The sequence below is a fragment of the Homo sapiens genome, chromosome 5 (genome assembly GCF_000001405.40).
Source record: "Homo sapiens chromosome 5, GRCh38.p14 Primary Assembly".
In the NCBI taxonomy this organism is placed as follows: Eukaryota; Metazoa; Chordata; class Mammalia; order Primates; family Hominidae; genus Homo; species Homo sapiens.
Window position 1 is genome coordinate 162,546,651 of NC_000005.10, and position 21,661 is coordinate 162,568,311.

The window sequence follows — 21,661 nt, forward strand, 5'->3', positions numbered from 1 at the left end:
TCTTTATCATCAGAGGCAGGTAAAGGCTAACTTATTTCTGTTCCTTTAATATTTAATGCTATCAAATGTCTATCTTCTGACTCACAGTCCCTAAATAAAATGCTTATAACTTTGATCTTCCATTTGTTAAAGAATTCTTAGAGGTCTAGAATATCTTAAAAACATAGAACCTATTTCATTCCACACAGTGTAGAGGCAACCTGAATGTGGAAAGCGGAGATGAGAAACAAACGTCTATTAAATTATTTCTCCAGCTAGATATGATGGTACATACTTTATACACAAAATCTCACTGACTTCAAACAACAAATATGTGAGGTTTGTATCATCATTCTTATTTTACAGGTAAGCGTCTAAGATTCTAAGCTGGGATGTGTTCTATTTTACCTGCTGGTTGTGATTCTGTAAGCTCTTTGAAGGGAAGTGCACTGTCTTGTTCATCTTTCTATTCCCAGTACAGTCTTTGTTGTTGAGTGCAACCATTCTGGTGCTTATGTCCAGGTCAAGGTAGTCAATTGGTACAATTCTGAACTTGGCCTCTTTCTTCACTCCCTCAGAAGAAGTGGAATGACTTATCTGGTTGATAAATTTGGAAAGAATAAACGGAACATGCTTAAATTTCTCTCCCCGACTTTTTTCTTATATGGACATGAGCGGCTGCCCACAGAGATTAGCTGCTCTTTCCCTCTCTACCACACCTTCACTCCTACCTGGTCTGTCTTTGAACACATGAGAGGCTGCCTTAGCCCAATATTACCATAGCATGATAGGTAAGTCTGCCTAATTTGGGGTTTTAATTAACAGGCCTATTTGTTTTTACACAAAACTAAATTGTTTAACTTGATTTTTATTAATAAAATGGTGATATTTACACCTCCCACTTATCTTACATTTTGTCTTATTTCTTATTTTGTTTAAAATCTGGCGAGGGAAAAGGGATACTGCTCAAAGACCACAATGCTGGTATAGAATGTTCTACAAAATGTATTAAGGCATTAAATTAATAGATTCATAGGTACTTCCACTTCATTGAACAATTCCTTTCCTTTAGAATTCTCTGTTGTTGTATTAAAAAATAAACTAAGCCTAACCCAAAATAGGTCTACATTTAATACACGTTGAATGTTTATTGCTGAATATTAATGACTTTATTTTTCCTGTTTTTAGAATTTCCATTTCTACAGATGCTTTTCCTTTTTTTAGAAGTCCCATAATTAATAAGTTCATGACTTATTAATTATGAATTTTTAGGAATTAGAAAAAGGGTAGTGGTAGAATATTTCAGGAGGATTTTTTATGCTGCTTGAATCATACCACATAGAATATCATTTAATCTACCCGCAAATAAATTTAGCTCTCCTTTCACATTCAAAATTTCTCTCTTATCAATAGTTTGTAACATTCCAATTTAAGGAATGCCTGAGATTATAAGAAAATAAGAACTTAATTAAATCCACACAGTATCCAGGTGGAAGAGAATCTTTAAGTATCCATTGATTGCCAAACATTAATTGCCAGACTATATTTTCAATAAATATTTGATTAATGAGAATCAATCAATAAATGAATTAAACTCATAAGTAAAATTCCATTTCATAAAACAAAAGAATTCTCAGGCACATCAGATAAAATCTAGGATTCACCTTTTATCTAAGAGAACTCTCAAGTGGAAGCTTAATTTGTAAAATAGGTCAATATAATGCTCTACCTCTTCTCCTAAGCCTTCAGTGAAGATGAAGGTCACTTTGAGAGGTGAAGCCAGCTACACTTCCTGGGTGGAGTGGGGACTTGGAGAACTTTTCTGCCTTACAAGAGGATTGTAAAACGCACCAATCAGCGCTCTGTAGCCAGGATTGTAAAACGCACCAATCAGTGCTCTGTAGCTAGCAAGAGGATTGTAAAATGCACCAATCAGCGCTCTGTAAAACGCACCCATCAGCAGGATCCTAAAAGTAGCCAATTGGAGGGAGGATTGAAAAAAGGGCACTCTGATAGGACAAAAACGGAACATGGGTGGGGACAAATAAGCGAATAAAAGCTGACCACCCCAGCCAGCAGGGGCAACCCACTCGGGTCCCCTTCCAGGCTGTGGAAGCTTTGTTCTTTCGCTCTTCACAATAAATCTTGCTCCTGCTCACTCTTTGGGTCTGTGCCATCTTTCTGAGCTGTAACACTCACCGTGAAGGTCCGTGGCTCCATTCTTGAAGTCAGTGAGACTATGAACCCACCGGAAGGAAACAACTCCGGACACAACTTCTGAGCTTTCAAACCTGTATTTATGGACAGAAAAATCTCAGCTCCAGAGAGAAGGTACTGCCTATGGCCAAGCATAATGAGTAGCAGGAACTTTGCTGGTATCCTGTTTTTCTCACTCTGGTCCAGTGTTTGTGCTTGTTTAACCTCCATTCCTCCATGATGTTAGTGGTCAAGACCCCCAGGATATTTTAGCCAGAATGGTTCTCTATATATGCTATTAAAATGGCATTACAAGTGACTTCAGGAAACTTTAAAGCCTCCCTGGGATAATGACTTCTCTTTGTTCTATTCATTCTCAGCTAGCTGAACTAGAATAATACTTTTAAAGGAATCCCCAGACATAAGACCTAGTTAAAGTCTTTTGTAAACAAGAATAAGAAGGGAGATGAAGAATGACTGTTTTTTCCTGTTCTGTGTATAAACTATAGAAAGAGAGACATTTGCCATTTGGACTAGGGCATTCAAGCAGTCTGGTCTTGGACAATTTAGAATAATAAAGAAAACTCCAAGTTCTTTCAGAATAAACCACATATATTGTAATTAAACACAGATCTCCTTAGTAAGTTTTCTTCTATTACAACATTATTTTCCCACTCCCACCCCAAGGATACAGGCTGTCATGGAGTTGTGTTTACACAAGAGATACAATAGATGGAAAGCAACTTAAAGCACAACTATAATTTTAGAGTTCATAAAATATTACAAATTCATTTATTTTGAGTTAAACAAAGACCAGAATGTTTTCTGGTTTCAAAGACATAGGATGCATCACATGAGCCATGAAAACCTCCAAAGATTCTTTCAGACAAATGACATTTGTCTTAAGTAAGTTATATTCTTTTAGACTAAATAATCACAGCCACAGGGAAATAGATCCTAGTGATGCCAGAGTTCTGGGAAGGGAAGAGTGTGGTCCCTTTAAATGATATGGAAGAGAGAAAGGGAAGTACTGGGTGGAGGTGAGTGTGGTCCCTGGCTAGGGCTCCACACCATGGACCCAGGTGAGGACAGGCACTCCTGCTTTGGAGCCCAAATGTTGCATTTTCCAAGACCACCCTAGCCTGGACCTATAAAAACTTGAGACCTGCTGGATGCAGTGGCTGGTGCCTGTGATACGGGCACTTTGGGAGGCTGAGGCGGGTGGATCACCTGAGGTCAGGAGTTCGAGACCAGCCTGGCCAACATGGTGAAGCCCCTCTCTACTAAAAATACAAAAACATTAGCCGGGCGTAGTGGTGCATGCCTGTAATCCCAGCTACTCGGGAGGCCTAGGCAGGGGAATCTCTTGAACCCAAGAGGCGGAGGTTGCAGTGAGCCAAGAATGCACCATTGTACTCCAAGCAACAAGAGTGAAACTCCGTCTCAAAACAAAAACTAAAACAAAAACTTGAGACCTTAGTGGGAAGATACACAAGAGGCTGGACGTTGAGAGGAGCAGATCCGCGAAAGAAGGCACAGAGACAGGTGGACGTGGAGAGAAGCACATTGGCGGAGGAACACACAGGCGGTTGGACTTCTAGAGGAAAGCACCGACAGGCACGGGCACACCAGCAGGCCACCAACTGGCAGAACGACGTGGAGTTTGGCCAGGGCAGTCAGAGAAGAGCCCGGGCTACTGATGGCCAACTCCAGGGGAAAGCTATCTCCCTTCTATGTCCCCCATCTGCTGAGAGCTACTTCCACTCAATAAAACCTTGCACTCATTCTCCAAGCCCAGGTGTGATCCGATTCTTCCAGTACTCCAAGGCAAGAACCTAGGATACAGAAAGCCTTCTCTCCTTGCAACAATAAGAGGGTCTAATTGAGCTAACACAAGCCGCCTATAGGCAAACTAAAAGAGCACCCTGTAACACACAACCACTGGGGCTTCAGGAGCCATAAACATTCACCCCTAGACACTGCCTTGGGGTCGGAGCCCCACAGCCTGCACATCTATATGCTCCCCTAGAGGTCCCAGCAGCGGGGCACTGAGGAAGTGAGCCACACCCCCATCGCACGTCCTGTGAGGGAACAAGGGAACTTTTCCCACTTCACAAGTTAGTTGTAACAATGTCCATAGCAATACCTTCTGATACTACAATCATTGACTATCCAGGGAAATCTGGAGTCCTCTGGCAATATGAGAAGATGGTCCTGGTTTCAATTTCTTCTGAGACTGGATTGCTGTCATGACATTTGTCATAATGGAGGAGTAGGCTATGCTTAATCTCACCTTAGTTCAAAAGGATACATTTTGATACTTAGAACCTTTCACAATCTTCTTTTATTAAAAAACAAGATACATATTGAGGGTGGCTCCAATTGGAATAAAACAGAGTTTCTAGACATTAGCTCTTAAGTGACAGGAAGATATCTGAAGGTGTCAAATTTGCTTAATAATTTTTTGCCTGTGTCTCCAGGGTTAGCCACTGAAATATGTGTACCTCTAGCATCCTGAATAAATCCAATAATCCTCCCCAACTCCATCACTGGAAATAAATTGCATCCCATAATAAACATCATGAGCATTTACAAATAGTAATAGGGAAGTGAGATCACTGAGGACTTGGTCTCCATTTTGAAATGATTTGCCCTTGTTATTCCCAAATTACATTGTTTCATGTTCTCCATGCACCTTTTCTAGTTGCCCTTAAACACTGGAAATTTCCCAGATGGATCTTGGTTTTATTCAATGATTTGGTGTGATAAGTAATATTTGGGTCCTTCCCATAAAGAGAGGAGGTGAGTAGCATACTATAAAAATTTTGTATTTCAACTAGCAAGAAGAAGAAAACCAAACATTCTAAGAAAACTGAGTGAAAATTGTTACTGTGGTTAACAGAGAAATAATAAAGGATGGCAGAATACCATATCTATTCATGCCTGACCCTAGATATAAAAGGAGAATTGTTAATCAAATTTGGCTAGCCTGCACTACCGTGCCACTTCAGTGGTATTGTGTAGAATGTCTGATTCCAATTGGAGCAACTTTTATTGCCTGCCTTTTCCCTCAGCTTCTTTCACTGTATCACAATTTTAGAGGATATTAGCTGTCTTTACCTATAATCAGAATCATATATAACAATATTTTGCATAATTCTTTGCATGAAGTAAACAATCATTTGCAAACTTTATTTTGATTTTTTTACTTACCCTCTAAATTAGGTAATATTTCGCAAGTCCACATGGTATGTGAAATTGTCCATGTACTCATATGGATTTTCAATATTGAGAAAGACATTTTGCACACTAAAAAAATCTGTAAGACCAAGAGATGTTAATTTTAGATTTTCAAATATCGAATTTAACATAATAAAATAGAGAGGGAACACTCAAACAAATGTAGCCTTTGAGTTTTATAGAGAGATTGCTTCTTTTGCATTCAAGTAAGTGCAGCTGATTGTGGTAGGCAGAAGAAAAATGGCTCCCACAAAGATGTCCATATCCACATTTTCGGAAGCTATAAATATGTTGTGATATATGGCAAAGTGGATTTAAGATTGCAGATGGATTTAAGGTGGCTAATCAGTTAACTTTAAAATAGGAAGATTATACTAGATTATCTATGTGTGCCCAAAGTAATCCAAGGGCTAGGAAAAGGTGGAAGAAGGAGAGAGAAGACTCACTGTTAAGAGTGATACAGCAAGAGAAAGACTTTACTAGCTATTGCTGGGTTTGACGATGGAAAGAAGCCACAAGCCAAGTAAAGTAGGCAGCCTTTAGAGTTGGAAAAAGTATGAAAAACTAATTTTCCTCTAGAAGGAACAATGCAGAAGGAACACAGCCCTGCTATACCTTGATTTACTCCAATGAGACCCATTTCAGATTTTTGACCTCCAAAACTGTAAGATAATAAATATGTGCTGTTTTTAGCCACCAAGTTTACAGTAGTTTGTTACAGCATATTTGGAAATTAATACAATATCCTCATAGATATGTTTTTATAGGAATTGATAGTCTTTCAACTTCTTCTTAAGGCTTCCGGATATGTAGTTAAAATGACAAAGTTCAACTGCTTCTATAAAACCTGAGGCTTTATTGCTTCAATTATTATTTTCTTAGTACCACTTAACATCACTTGAAATGATTTTATTTTATTTATTTATTTTTATTATTATTATACTTTAAGTTTTAGGGTACATGTGCACAATGTGCAGGTTAGTTACTTATGTATACATGTGCCATGCTGGTGTGCTGCACCCATTAACTCGTCATTTAGCATTAGGTATATCTCCTAATGCTATCCCTCCACCCTCCCCCCACCCCACAACAGTCCCCGGAGTGTGATGTTCCCCTACATGGATGTGTCCATGTGTTCTCGTTGTTCAATTCCCACCTATGAGTGAGAAGATGTGGTGTTTGGTTTTTTGTTCTTGTGACAGTTTACTGAGAATGATGATTTCCAATTTCATCCATGTCCCTACAAAGGACACGAACTCATCATTTTTTATAGCTGCATAGTATTCCATGGTGTATATGTGCCACATTTTCTTAATCCAGTCTATCATTGTTGGACATTTGGGTTGGTTCCAAGTCTTTGCTATTGTGAATAGTGCCACAATAAACATATGTGTGCATGTGTCTTTATAGCAGCATGATTTATAGTCCTTTGGGTATATACCCAGTAATGGGATGGCTGGGTCAAATGGTATTTCTAGTGCTAGATCCCTGAGTAATTGCCACACTGATTTCCACTATGGTTGAACTAGTTTAAAGTCCCACCAACAGTGTAAAAGTCTTCCTATTTCTCCACATCCTCTCCAGCACCTGTTGTTTCCTGACTTTTTAATGATTGCCATTCTAACTGGTGTGAGATGGTATCTCATTGTGGTTTTGATTTGCATTTCTCTGATAGCCAGTGATGGTGAGCATTTTTTCATGCATTTTTTGACTGCATAAATGTCTTCTTTTGAGAAATGTCTGTTCATGTCTTTTGCCCACTTTTTGATGGTGAAGTCCTTGCCCATGCCTATGTCCTGAATGGTAATGCCTAGGTTTTCTTCTAGGGTTTTTATGGTTTTAGGTCTAACGTTTAAGTCTTTAATCCATCTTGAATTAATTTTTGTATAAGGTGTAAGGAAGGGATCCAGTTTCAGCTTTCTACATATGGCTAGCCAGTTTTCCCAGCACCATTTATTAAATAGGGAATCCTTTCCCCATTGCTTGTTTTTGTCAGGTTTGTCAGAGATCAGATAGTTGTAGATATGCGGCGTTATTTCTGAGGGCTCCGTTCTGTTCCATTGATCTATATCTCTGTTTTGGTACCAGTACCATGCTGTTTTGGTTACTGTAGCTTTGTAGTGTAGTTTGAAGTCAGGTAGCATGATGCCTCCAGCTTTGTTCTTTTGGCTTAAGATTGACTTGGCGATGTGGGCTCTTTTTTGGTGCCATATGAACTTTAAAGTAGTTTTTTCCAATTCTGTGAAGAAAGTCATTGGTAGCTTGATGGGGATGGCATTGAATCTATAAATTACCTTGGGCAGTATGGCCATTTTCACGATATTGATTCTTCCTACCCATGAGCATGGAATGTTCTTCCATTTGTTTGTATCCTCTTTTATTTCATTGATCAGTGGTTTGTAGTTCTCCTTGAAGAGGTCCTTCACATCCCTTGTAAGTTGGGTTCCTAGGTATTTTATTCTCTTTGAAGCAATTGTGAATGGGAGTTCACTCATGATTTGGTTCTCTGTTTGTCTGTTATTGGTGTATAAGAATGCTTGTGATTTTTGTACATTGATTTTGTATCCTGAGACTTTGCTGAAGTTGCTTACTAGCTTCAGGAGATTTTGGGCTGAGACAATGGGGTTTTCTAGATATACAATCATGTCATCTGCAAACAGGGACAATTTGACTTCCTCTTTTCCTAATGGAATACCCTTTATTTCCTTCTCCTGCCTAATTTCCCTGGCCAGAACTTCCAACACTATGTTGAATAGGAGTGGTGAGAGAGGGCATCCCTGTCTTGTGCCAGTTTTCAGTGGGAATGCTTCCAGTTTTTGCCCATTCAGTATGATATTGGCTGTGGGTTTGTCATAGATAGCTCTTATTATTTTGAGATACGTCCCATCAATACCTAATTTATTGAGAGTTTTTAGCATGAAGCGTTGTTGAATTTTGTCAAAGGCCTTTTCTGCATCTATTGAAATAATCATGTGGTTTTTGTCTTTGGTTCTGTTTATATGCTGGATTACATTTATTGATTTGTGTATATTGAACCAGCCTTGCATCCCAGGGATGAAGCCCACATGTCTAAAACACCAAAAGCAATGGCAACAAAAGCCAAAATTGACAAATGGGATCTAATTACACTAAAGAGCTTCTGCACAGCAACAGAAACTACCATCAGAGTGAACAGGCAACCTACAAAATGGGAGAAAATTTTGAAATGATTTCATGTGTTTGTTTGTTGCTGTTTCCTTTAGTACAAAGTAAGTTGCATGAGAGCAGGCCTTTAATCTGCTCTGCTCATTGGGTTCAATGCCTAGAAAAGTACCTATCACATATTGGGTATTCCATATATGTTGATTAAATGAATGGATGAATAAATGAGTGAATGATAGATAGTCAGTAGCAATGAATATTTGAGTGAAATAAATCAATAAATTGGAGCTATTCTTCTCATTTTCCTAAAGTATGTGAGTGAGAATACATGTTATGGTTAATGCTTCCCGATGAAGTTAACCTTAATTTTTTTTCATTGCATTGCTTTTTTTGCCTCAAGAATAAATGTGTTTTCTTTATTGATTTGCATATTCAGTATTCACATGTACTAATCCATGCCTCTGCAGTCACTCTGTAGATTTAGACTGATCATTTTTCTCTTCTTACTTCCAACAAATCCCTTTGGGAATTTTTAATGTAAGCACAGCTGGAAATATGTGCAGTCAAGGTTTTATGCCCAAGAATACAGTGACCCTTTGATGAATGAGGATTTTCTACAACTGATTTTTTCTTGTGAAATGTCTCCCATTTTAGCAAGTTGCTACAACCTCCTACCTTCCCTGTCCCATTCGTCTCCTGGAGACAATTTCTGAGCTCCTGGAATACCCTGCCTGATAATATTTCCATAAGCCTGAGGCCTTGGGCCATGCTATGGCAATTTGAGCATATAAGTTTATCCTAACAGTCTGATTTATGGTGAATACCTGATTTTGCTCTTGAGGTTACAGTCTGGTGGGTGAGGTCAGTCACAGAAGCACTGAATGTGTGCATGACTGACAACCAATAAAAAACCCTGGTGACCAAAGCTGGGGGGAGCTTCCCTGATGGCCAATACTTTGCATGTGTTGTCCCACATTGCTGCTGGGAGAGTTGTGTGCATCCTCATGGGACTCCACTGGAGAGAAAAACTTGTAGCTTGATTTCTTCTGGCCTTCATCCCATGGGCCTTTTCCCTTTGCCGATTCTAATCTCTACATCTGTTCTCTGTAATAAACAATAACTATTAGTATAGCAGCTTTTCTGAATCATGTGAGTTGTTTCATTCAATCATCAAGTCTTAGGAGGGTCCTGTGGAACCTCCTGACCCAATTCATTAATTTGTGTATTCCTCATGATAACCCTATGAAGTTGGTTTGAGTTTTTACCTTCGTCTCAGAGATGAGGACACTAAGAGTTATTTTGCCAAAGGTGAAGCTAATCTAACAAAAATGGAAAGTAAATAAGAAATAACAATTTTTTTATATTTGAATATTTAAATATTTCTGCCTTTTAAGATAACAATCAAATACAGGCACACCTTAGAGACATTTTGTGTTTGGTTTCAGACCACTGAGATAAAGCAAATACCACAATAAAACAAGTCACAAATATTTTGTAGTTTTCCAGTGCATATAAAAGTTATGTTTACACTATAGTGTTGACTATTGTGTGCAGTAGCATTATGTCTAAAAAGTATATATACCTTAATTAAAAAATGCTTTGTTGCTAAAAAATGTTAATAATTATCAGAGCCTTTAGCCAGTCATAATCTTTTTGCTGGTGGAAGATCTTGTCACAATGTTGATGAATGCTGATGGATCAGAATAAAGGTTGCTGAAGTAGGGGTGGCTGAGGCAATTTCTTAAAATAAAACAATGAAGTTTGCCACATCAGTTGATTATTTCACGAAAGATTTCTCTGTAACATGCAATGCTGTTTGATAGCATTTTACTATCAAAATTGCTATAAACAGATGTGCTGTCACCCAGTCTTCATTGTTTCATTTATAGAGCACAGGCAGAATAAATTTAGCACAATTCTTAAGGGTCCTAGGATTTTTGGAATGTTAAATGAGTATTTAACTTAAAGTTACCAGCTGTCTTAACCTCTAACAAGAGGGTCAGCCTCTCCTTTGAAGCTTTGATGCCAGACGTTGACTTCTCCTCTTTACCTATGAAAGTCTTAGATGGCATTGTCTCCAATAGAAGGCTATTTTGTCTATACTGAAAATCTGTTTAGTGTTGCCACCTTTATCAATTATCTTAGCTAGATCTTCAGGATAATTTGCTGTAGCTTCTACATCAGTACTTACTGCTTCAGCTTGTACTTTTATGGTTATGGAAACATATTCTTTCCTTAAACTTCATGAACCAACCTCTGCTATTAATATTCAGAGATATTAATATTAACCTCTGCTGTGAATTATTTGAATATAATATTCAAACTATTCTTCTGTAGCTTCCTTATCTTCCTCAGCCTTCATAGAATTAGACTTGAAGAACTGAGGAACAGAATTGTTAGAGCCTTGCTGTAGATTAGTCTCTGGCTTAAGGGAATGTTGTGGATGTTTTGATATATCTAGACCACTAAAACTTTATCCATGTCAACAATCAGGTGGTTTCACTTTCTTATCATTCATGTGTTCACTAGAGTAGCATTTTTACTTTTCTTCAAGAATTTTTCCTTTGCATCCACAACTTGGCTAACTGTTTGGTGTCAAGAGGCCTAGCTTTCAGCCTATCGCAGCTTTTGGCATGCCTTCCTGACTAAGCTTGATCATTTCTAGCTTTTGATCTAAAGTGAAATATGTGTGACTCTTCCTTTCAGCTGAACACTAGAGGTTATTGTAGAGTTATATTAACTGGACTAATTTCAGTATTATTCTTTCTCAGGAAATAGAGGGGCCCCGGGAGATGGAGGGAGATGGGGGAATAACTGGTTGGTGGAACAGTCATAACACATACATTAATTAAGTACATTGTTTTATATTGTCACACTTTGTGGCACCTAAAGACAATTACAAAAGTAACATCAAAGATTACAGGCCAGGCATGGTGGCTCATACTTGTCATCCCAGCAATTTGGGAAGCCGAGGCAGGTGGATCACTTGAACTCAGGAGTTCCGGACTGGCCTGGCAACATGGTGAAACTCTGTCTCTACAAAAAATACGAAAATTAGCCAGGTGTGGTGGCATATTGTGAGAATTACCATAATTGAAACAGAGACAGGAAGTGAGAAGATGCTGCTGAAAAGTGGCTTTGGTAGACTTGCTTGTCGCGGGGTCACCACACATCTTCAATTTGTAAACAATGCAATATCTGCAATACATAATAAAATGAAGTATGACCGTATGTATAGCTTGGAATGTAAAACAAAAGAGGACTAAGAAGAAATTTCTCTTGCCCAGATGTGTTGCTCCAATAAGTTATATTATTAAGTAGCTATAAATCTAAGATGTAGTAATCAATGAGTATATTGTTACTATGTGGACAAGACATAAGTGCCAAAGCATCTAGCTGCAGCTTAACAGATCCTTAACCAAGCCCACATACAAACTGTATTTTTAGCAATTATGTTAGAAACTATTTAACCATCTGCTTTCTTTCTTTCCATACTGCTGATTTTATTGTGGGAAGCATTGGTCAGTGTTTACAGATACCACAAACCATTCTAAATAATTTAAACATGAAAAGATTCAATATAAGATTTTTGGAAGGATTAGGTAAATAGGTTAGAGATGGAGATTCCAGGAACACCACCATAGACCTCAGTTAGCAAAAGGGTTGCTTCTTCTGCCATGGAAAGAAGGTCAGGAATTCGAGAAGACACCACCACCTCTGCTGGCTGTACCAAATGCACGTGCTGTGATCTCAGAATCATGAGGCTGCCACGAGGAAGTCATGATTTCCTATGTCTTAAATCTCAGCAGTCACAAAGCTAAGGACTCCACACAAGAAATCCTCTATAGTTTCTGCAGGAAAAGCAAAAGAGAAAGAGAGAGATAAATGTTTTTAAGACTGTGCTGTGCTGTATAGGAGAAAAGCTAATAGCAGCAAAAATGTGGCCACCATCTTATCTTCCACTTCAACTTTTCAAAGTTCACACATCGCTTCTGAAGGTGAAACCTAAATGGGATTGTAGCCTGGCTGCAATCAATGTTCCTTACCTCTCTGAGTACTGAAAGGTAAACTAGAAGAAAGTTGGAGCAGATGAGTAACTCAATCCAGAATATATACTTACCTCCCCTCCTATGCCCTTAAAGATTAGTTATGTTGCCGGGCGCGGTGGCTCACCCCTATAATCCCAGCACTTTGGGATGCCACTGCAGGCAGATCATGAGGTCAGGAGTTTGAGACCAGCCTGGCCAACATAGTGAAACCCCATCTCAACCATAAATACAAAAATTTGCCGGGTGTGGTGGCACTTGCCTGTAGTCCCAGCCACTCGGGAGGCTGAGGCAGGAGAATCATTTGAACCTGGGAGGTCGAGGTTGCAGTGAGCCAAGATCGGGCCACTGCACTCCAGACTGGCAACAGAGCAACACTCCATCTCAAAAAAAAAAAAAAAAAAAAAAAAGAAAAAAAAAAGATTACTTATGTTTTGCTAGGAAGAGTGAACAGTTAATTTATAAGGTCAAAACAAATGCATAGATGCTGTGACTCTACTCTAATGAGCACGCCTCTCTCTTCATTCCAATTTAGGACTGAAGAAAATTCCTGATTCTTTCCTGCTGCTTTCTGAACTATTCTGAACTGTTTTCAGGAATTGCCCTTCTACCCTTCCATTAATCCAAAACTAACTTTGCTTCCAATCTCATTTTAAGACCTCTTATAAAAGCTTTCTTGATAATCCCCTCAAAATAGCAATAGTTTTATTATTTGAATTCCTAATTCCCCAGCAGACTATGGTAAACTGTTCTATGCTTAATCAAAAGAACTTGACTTATTCTGTTCTAAAATCATTTCAAATATGTTAAGCCTGTCCTCTCTATTTAGATAATAAAATTTTAAAAGACTATATCATATATTGATTCCTCCTTTCAGATCCCAGAAAAACAGTTGCTTACTTAAATTAATAAGCAGATTTCATTTATTTGGATAAGGTAGCACCTTTTGGAAGTATCTCTAATTCTTTTATCTCAACATACAGGCTAACTAAATGGCATACAAGAGGCATTTTTCTGCCAGAGCAGTGCAGAATACCTCCACCCAGCTTCATAATTTTGCTTAACCACTTAGCAACATTCAACTACCTAACAGAATAAGAAAATCAGTTATTTAACTCAATTTCCTTTATCTCCTGCAAAGCTGAAGCAAAAAATAAATAAAATGTGTGTCTGCTCTCTTATTCATTTTTTTCTCTAATAGACATCTCCCTTGCCTTTTCTATTTGATCTAAGATAAAAGTTGTGTTTATTATAACCATAATATATAACAATTATAAATATTTTGCAAAAACAGAAAGGTACAGATGATATGAAAATCATTAACAATCCATAGAAAGTATTTTAAGCATGGAAATATATAATCTTTTAGTATTTTATTACACAATCAGTGGTAAATATAAACTCATGTATAATTATTTTAAATACTTATTTTTCTTAAAGAAAAAATATTACATGCTTATTTCTAAATCTTGGAGATTTTTTAAGTTTCAAAATTTACTTTTGAATAATGTGTAACAATATTTGCATGCTAGCATTTATTTACTTTATTTAAAGGCATTAGAGACTGTTTTTATTGTCATATATTCTGATTAGACTAATTTGATTTTATAGACCGTACATTCAAAGCAAATGTTACTGAGCTCTTAACAGATGTATGCACTCCATGGAAAGTAAATTGCTACTTTCAAAGCAAATATTTTAGGCTCACAACTACATCTATACCTCCTAAAAAAATCTTTTGTTTCTATTTTAATTTGAGCCTCCTTCAAAAAGGTTTTTATTAGATCAATCTAAGTATATTACTTGACGCTGATGCTTCTAAAATTAGGTTGAAACACCTGTCTCCTTTCTTCTCCTTTTCCTTCTTCTTTTAGATGAAGTCTCTTTCTGTCTCCCAGGCTGGAGTGCAGTGGTGAGATCTTGGCTCATCGCAACCTCCACCTCCCGGGTTCAAGCAATTCTCCTGCCTCAGCCTCCCCAGTAGCTGGGATTACAGGCAATTGCCACCATGCCCAGCTAATTTTTTTTGTATTTTTAGTAGAGACAGGGTTTCACCATGTTGGTCAGTCTGGTCTTGAACTCCTGACTTCAGGCGATACACCCGCCTCAGCCTCCTAAAGTGCTGGGATTACAGGCATGAACCACTGTGTTCAGCCTCAGGACATTTTTCTAAAGCACTTTCCACAAAACAAAGACAGAGCCTTTACAGCTAAATGCAAAACTGACATTTGGAAGTGGGAAAAGAGTGAATATTATAAATCTGTGCCTTGATGAACAGACCAGGTGAAATAAAATGATAAAAGGAAGACGAGAGTCAGACCCTGTTGTTGCCATCCAGGGAGTATACCGCATGTATCATGGCATGTACCAGTCATCTGAAAATCACTGTTAGGTATCTGGGGATGAGTTGCTGTTGGTGGCAGAAGTAATATCAGCAAAATACTTTCTTTCCTTTTTTTTCATTCTATCCACCCAATATAGCTGCATCATATTTTCTTTATTTTACTTACCTTATTTTCTAAATAAAATTACCTTTTAAAACCATGGCTTTTGTGGTTTTATTGGAGAAAGAAACTGCTTTTTCCATTTCTCCATTATGGAAGTTAGCAACTCTCTAGCCAGTATTTACAGAAAAAGGGCTTTGATTCTATTGATCAGAAGACTGTGTAAAGAATTTCTATTTTCTGTGAACCTGGGAAGAACAAGAGAAGACAAGATGAAATCACCAAAGAGAAAACAAATAGTCTCCAAAAGATTAGTCTGGACAGAAACAACCTAAAGCAGAAAGCAGCAAATATTCTACCATCTCTTCATAACCATTAATGTATATAGTGTGTACATGCCAGGAGCAGTTGGGAGATGAATTCTCTTGTTTTCTCCCCCAGTATGTACTGCAAAGACAAGGGAAAGATAAACAAGTATTATAGGTAGAAACAAACACATTTTAAATGTCTTTGGAATTACCTTATCAGTGTTATTGTTTTATTTTGATTGAAATTTCAGTTTCATTTATATATTAGAAATACATTTTATATTCCTGATTTTGAAAATAATGACACATTGCTTGAGGCAATTTTTAGAATTACTAATTATTCCTGTCAAGTTGGAAAATTCAGAGTTAATATATACTATATGACTTTACAGCAACTTATTAGCTAGGTAATATAATTATCAATTTTTGAATGCAAAACTTATTATATGAAGAAGTTCAGTATCTTACCAAAAGTCACACAGCTACTAAGGGACAGAACCAATATTTATAACAACTCATTGTTAAAAATCTATATTAGGTCGAGAATACACACAATTGCATGTCAAGAGTACATGCATGTATTCTATGGAGAAGCATGTCTTCAATGTTCCAAAGAAGGTCCATGGCGGCTGGGCGTGGTGGCTCATTCCTGTAATCCCGGCACTTTGAGAGGCCGAGGCGAGTGGATTACGAGGTCAAGAGTTGGAGACCAGCCTCGCCAACATGGTGAAACCCATCTCTACTAAAAATACAAAACATAGCTGGGCTTGGTGGTAGGTGCCTGTAATCCCAGCTACTTGGGAGGCTGAGGCAGGAGAATCGTTTATCGTTTGAACTTGGGAGGTGGAGGTTGCAGTGAGCCGAGATCATGCCCTTGCACTCCAGCCTGGGTGACAGGGCAAGACTCCGTCTCAGAAAAAAAAAAAAAAAAAAAGAAGACAGTCCATGGCTACAATTCCACAGAATATGTACTGACAATTGAAAAAAAAAAAATGTAGGATATGCAAGTAAACAAGGCATTATGATCAAAGGTCAAAAGACAAAAGAAGGGCAAAATTAGAACCAAATACTGTTTAATGAGAAACAAAACAGCACGCATTTTTTAGTATGTTTAAGGTTATTAAAATAGTATCAAGATGAATGTATGAGAAGGACAGAGTATTAAAATTGAAAAAGGATATATGCAAAAAATGAACACAAGTTGTTGAAATTTAACATCATAAAATGGATTAGGTAAATTAGCTAACACATTTATCACAACTAAAGGACATATTAGTGAACTGTAAGATAGGTCTGAAGAAATGTCTGACAATTATTATAAAAATGAAAATATGGTAACTCATTTTACTAAGTATTAACATATTATCTAAGTTCTAGGATAGAATAGGATTAATGATTAATTAAGTGAGGTAACATTTTTTAAAAATGATAGCTGACAGCTAGTACAATAAGACAAGCAATGGATATAAAAGATACACAAATTGAGAAGGAAGAAACAAAACTGTTTTTGTGTACAAATGCCATGATCGTCTATATAGAAAATCTAAAAATATCAAACAAAAAATACCTTTTAGAACTAATAAACAATAATAGGAAGGTTGCAGGATACAGCGTTTACAAAAGTCATTTACTTTCCTAAATAAAGTACTAGCAATAAACAAATGAAATTTAAAATTAAAAATGCAATATCATTTGTATTAGCAGCCCTAAAATGAAACAGGTATAAATCTAACAAATATTTACAAGATCTATATGAGAAACTGGATACTATATGAAATATCAGTATCCAGAAGGAGGGATATGATAAGAAAAGGGAAAAATGTTCTGAAATGCAAGAAAAAAATAGTAGGCAAACAAAATAAAAAATATGAGATCAATACAAACAAACATGGAGGGTATATATATTGGCAGTAGACAGATATAGTAAAACTACAACGTGACTAAAGTATAGGTCTAGAGCTACTGGTACAAGAGACAAGAGCAGAGAAAGGCAGAAATGGCTCAATTTCTCCATTAGTGAGACAAAGGTATTTATGATTTTCTATCCCAGTGGTTTTCCTGGTGATGAAGGAAACCATGCATGTGGTTCCACTTAAAACCCAGAGGATACAATAAATGTTCAAATTATTTATGCTATGTTGGTCAGCTTCTAGGTGAAAAAAATACATTGAGCCTTTAAACAATTGCAACCTCCATGAGTCATTTTTAAACAAATTCTGTATTCAGGGAAGACACACTTATTCTTGGTACTAGGGTTCAAAATGGAAAAATAAAATTAAAATCCTCAACAATTTAACCTTAACTGGTATAAAAGAGTGACTTATCACATAGGCTGAAGGATAAAGGAAAGGGGAGTAAAATCATCGGCAGAAAGAATCAACAGAAATGAACATCTTTCATCAGAAAATGAAAATTATAAAAAATAAGATGTTAAATCTATCATTTGCTCCCCTTCTGATTATAAAACACATTTTACACTAAAATCTCATCACTATTCTCTCATGGAAATGAAAATAAAATTTATATAGTTGTAAATAGCATCTTGGATAGCCTGATATTCTTTACAAAATAGGTATACTGAGGCATCTGCTGTTGTTACTCACATAGCATTTTAAGGATAGCTCATAAATTAGCAGGGATATTTCAAAATAGGAAACTGGAGCACTGAACAAAAGCATCAGAAAACATTAAGCTGTATCAGGCTCACGGGAAGTATTTATGGTGAAGAAGTGGCTATGTGTGTGTGCATCTGACTAAAATTGGAGATGAAGCCGAGCATCTCACTTTTCTATTTTATGTTATAAACTGTACTATGTGGTTGAGAATTTAAGAAGCTTAAGATGAATGTGTTGAGGAAGAAGAAGGATATGATGTTTTAATATCTAACATGCTACAGAAACCTGAAATGTGTTAAAATTACACATTACTCTTACCATCTGCTATGTTCATATAACATCAAGTGACTATCAATTTTTTCATACTTGAAATTGTTTTACCCTCCAGTGAGTTCTTGAAAGCAAGAAAGAAAAGTGTTTATTGTTTCTTTGAAACTTACTGAAATTGTAACTCCATGAATTGTTTTAAAATAAATTTACATACAAAGATATTTATTGTATCACTGCTTATAATAACAAAAAAAAACCCATCTCCAAACGAAAACAAAACATAAAATTACTTACGTGTTCATGAAAAGGATGTAATATGTCTATACAATAAAATACCTCATAGTCTCTGAGAAGAGTAAAATAATTTTATAAAATTTGATTTGAAATTAATAAGTTGATAAGTGAAAAAAGTTGCAAAATAATAGGTATTATACATATGTACCCAACACTGAGTTTATGTTTTAGCAAATTTTGTTACTTGCTTCCCCAATGCCCATTCATCTTCCCTTTTGCAATAATATCCTAAAAATTATTTGAAGAAGACAGGGAATGAGTACTCCTTTCCTATGGTGATTTGTTAACAAATGGACATATGATCAAATTCAGACAATATGTCCCTAAGAAGACTCAATTGCAGGATTATATATTGTTGGAAGTATTAAATAAGTAAACATTCTCTTTTTGACTCGATATAGAATATATCTAGAGTAGATACGGTATTGCATATGGGTACTAATAGTAGCATTGCCGTGGGAACTGATAATAGTCATTTCACTCTCACGAAGTGAAAGCCTACAAAGAAGGGGGCCAACCAGAGTGGAGCTAATAAATACACAGAGAAAAACAGAGTCTGGACACCCATGTGAGCTACTGGACCAAACCTCAGCTCAAGTTAGTCTCTGTTCCCCACTTGGTTTCTGTTGACATCCTGGTGAGGAAGAATGGCACCTCATTACAGCTGGGCAAGGATGGATGGGAGTTCAGGCTCCCACTAGTCCTCCACTCTTGCCACCCTGGCTGGGTGGGCTGCCTCACATTGCTCCCCTCATGCCTCTGAATACATCAAGGAGGTAGGAAGTCAGGTATCCTGGAAGGTCATGAAAGTCCAGGTTTCCCACATGGCCTTTTCTCACCCCAATCCAATGGGGAAGAGGATGAACAGATTTTTACTGCTGAGTGGGAGTGGAAGTCTAGGCTTCCCATGTGCTCTCCACCAGGGGGATGAAAGTCTTCAGTCCCCACTTGGTCATCTCTGACACCACCCAGGCAGGAAGGGGAGGGATGTTTCTTCATATCCTGGTAAGAATGAAAGTCTAGGCTCCCATTCACCTTCACTGAGAGTTTGAGGAGTGAGACCACACTTTGTTTTCCTGTGCTAAGGTTGAAGTATGGCAATTATTGTCTACGTATTTTCTCTATTGCTAGGCTGCTCTTTTCTGATCTTTGAATGGAGAGAATGGGATTTTCCTGGGGCTTTTTTACTCTCATTCATTGACATTTGGAGGTTAGTGACTTTTCCTGCACTGACTCTGTGATAAATGAAGCAGAAGAAAACCAAGAAAATCTACTACCTGTTCCTTGTATCTAATGTTCTTGGCTGCTCTATCTTCTTCTTTTCACCTAACATAGATTTCTTCTGTTGCTTTGTATATAATGTCCATGAGTTTTAGCTATAATTAGCAAGAGGACAAGTGAAAAGTGCATTTACACCCTGATGTGGAAGACCCTATTAGTATGATTTTACTTCTAAGTTTATTGGGGTTGTCTTTATTGTCCAGTTTGTCTTAATGATTTTTCCATTTGCCTTTGAGTGGGATGCACATTCTTTGGTTGTTGGCTGGAGTATTCTATACTGTCAGTGGGGCCAATTTTGTTACAGTTTTGTTTAGACTTTCTGTATCCTTATGAAATTTCTTGTAAGGGTATAATTCAAACAGTCTCTCAATCAAACAATATAACTAAGAAACTTAAGGATGTTGTTCTGTAGCAAAGGGATAAGGTAGAGAAGTTATTATCCTGAAGACATTTGTGGGTATGGCTTTTGTCTAATGAAGTGAATCCTATTAATATTCAAAGGTGATGCATCAAATCTTTAAGAAAAATCATAGATGCAGAAACATAGCTTGATGAAAAAGAGACAGAAACAGTACAAAATGAAAAGAGACTTTTGGAACCCTAAATATTGACAAGCCAGCAACAGGCTAAAGCAACTACTCATCGAAAAAGCCTGGGCTGCATTTCGTGGCAAAGGAAGGGTGACTTAGATGGCAAAGCAATTGGCTACCGGGAAGGACCAAAAGCTCTGAGGGTGGAGTTGAATGTTCTGAAGAATCATTTCCAGGAAGTAACAGGACTGAGTCCTAATCAAGGAACTTCCTACATTTGCCTGGATGAATTTCAAAATTGCTATGGATCTGTGACTCTGTGCTTCACATATTCTCCCTTTTGAAACTGCAGTCTGTAGTGGTTAGCATCATTTTTTGTTGGGTGTATAGGAGCAGATACCGTGTGTATTTCACAGACTTGCAGGAGGAACTCTATTTAGGGAGCAACACATAAGAAGCTTCATGTGGCAGATGCACCCTCATCTGGACTTGATTTAGATAGGATGATACTGCAGGTTTTTCTGACATGGTAATGGGATAAGATTTGGTGAGGGACTGGGGGACATGGCAGGATGTGAGGGTATTTTGCATGTGGGAGAAACTTAGATCTTTTGGAGCCAGAGGGTAGACTCTGGTAACCAGCCTTTCAGACCTGCTTTCCAGGCAGCCCCTCTCCACCACTGCGGTCTCTCTCCCTCTTCTCTCTCTTTCACTCTTTCTTCCTCTCTCTGTTGTTGGTTCTTATTCTCTGGTAAAACTACGTCATAAGCAGCACATGGAGAGCCCTTCATGGTGAGGAAATAAAGTCTCCTGCCAATGGCCACATGAGTGAGCTGGGAAGTGGCACTTCCAGATAAGACAGTAGCCTCAATCAGCAGCTTAACTCCAAGCACAGAATCGATGCTGAGTCACAAGTACTCAGTTAAGCTGGTCTCAGATTCCTGAGTCTAAGAACCTCTGTGAAATAATATTATTTTGTTTGTTTTCATCTGCTCATTTCTGGGTAATTTGTTGTACAACAATAAATAAATAATACACCAGATATTCTCAATTTCTATAACCAGAATGATGTAAAAAGAAGAGTGCGAGACTTTTGTCCATATACTTATTTCTATGGGACTGTTCTTATGAGTGTTTTCAAAATAGATATGTGAACCCGCCCCCCAAACTGTCATTACATCTGTAAGTGTGATTGTTTTCTGAGCAAAAGGCAAGCTTTCCCTAATTTGGTGGCATGATTCTTTGGGTAAGACATATGGTTCCAGCAGAAGTCTGTGTGGTATTGAAATCTATATGCTAAACAGTTCTGTGCTTCTG

General features: G+C 37.5%; 1 long non-coding RNA gene across 1 annotated transcript in view; it reads right to left on the reverse strand.

Moving 5' to 3' along the window:
• Positions 1-21,661, reverse strand: part of LOC105377697 (uncharacterized) — a 56,743-nt gene that overhangs the window by 11,708 nt on the left and 23,374 nt on the right. The window contains exons 2-7 of the long non-coding RNA XR_941159.2: positions 15,135-15,294; positions 11,645-12,407; positions 9,381-9,660; positions 5,389-5,494; positions 2,179-2,270; positions 388-576 (exon numbers count right to left, since the gene is read on the reverse strand). This is a non-coding gene — a long non-coding RNA (uncharacterized LOC105377697). The remainder of the gene's footprint in view (positions 1-387; positions 577-2,178; positions 2,271-5,388; positions 5,495-9,380; positions 9,661-11,644; positions 12,408-15,134; positions 15,295-21,661) is intronic.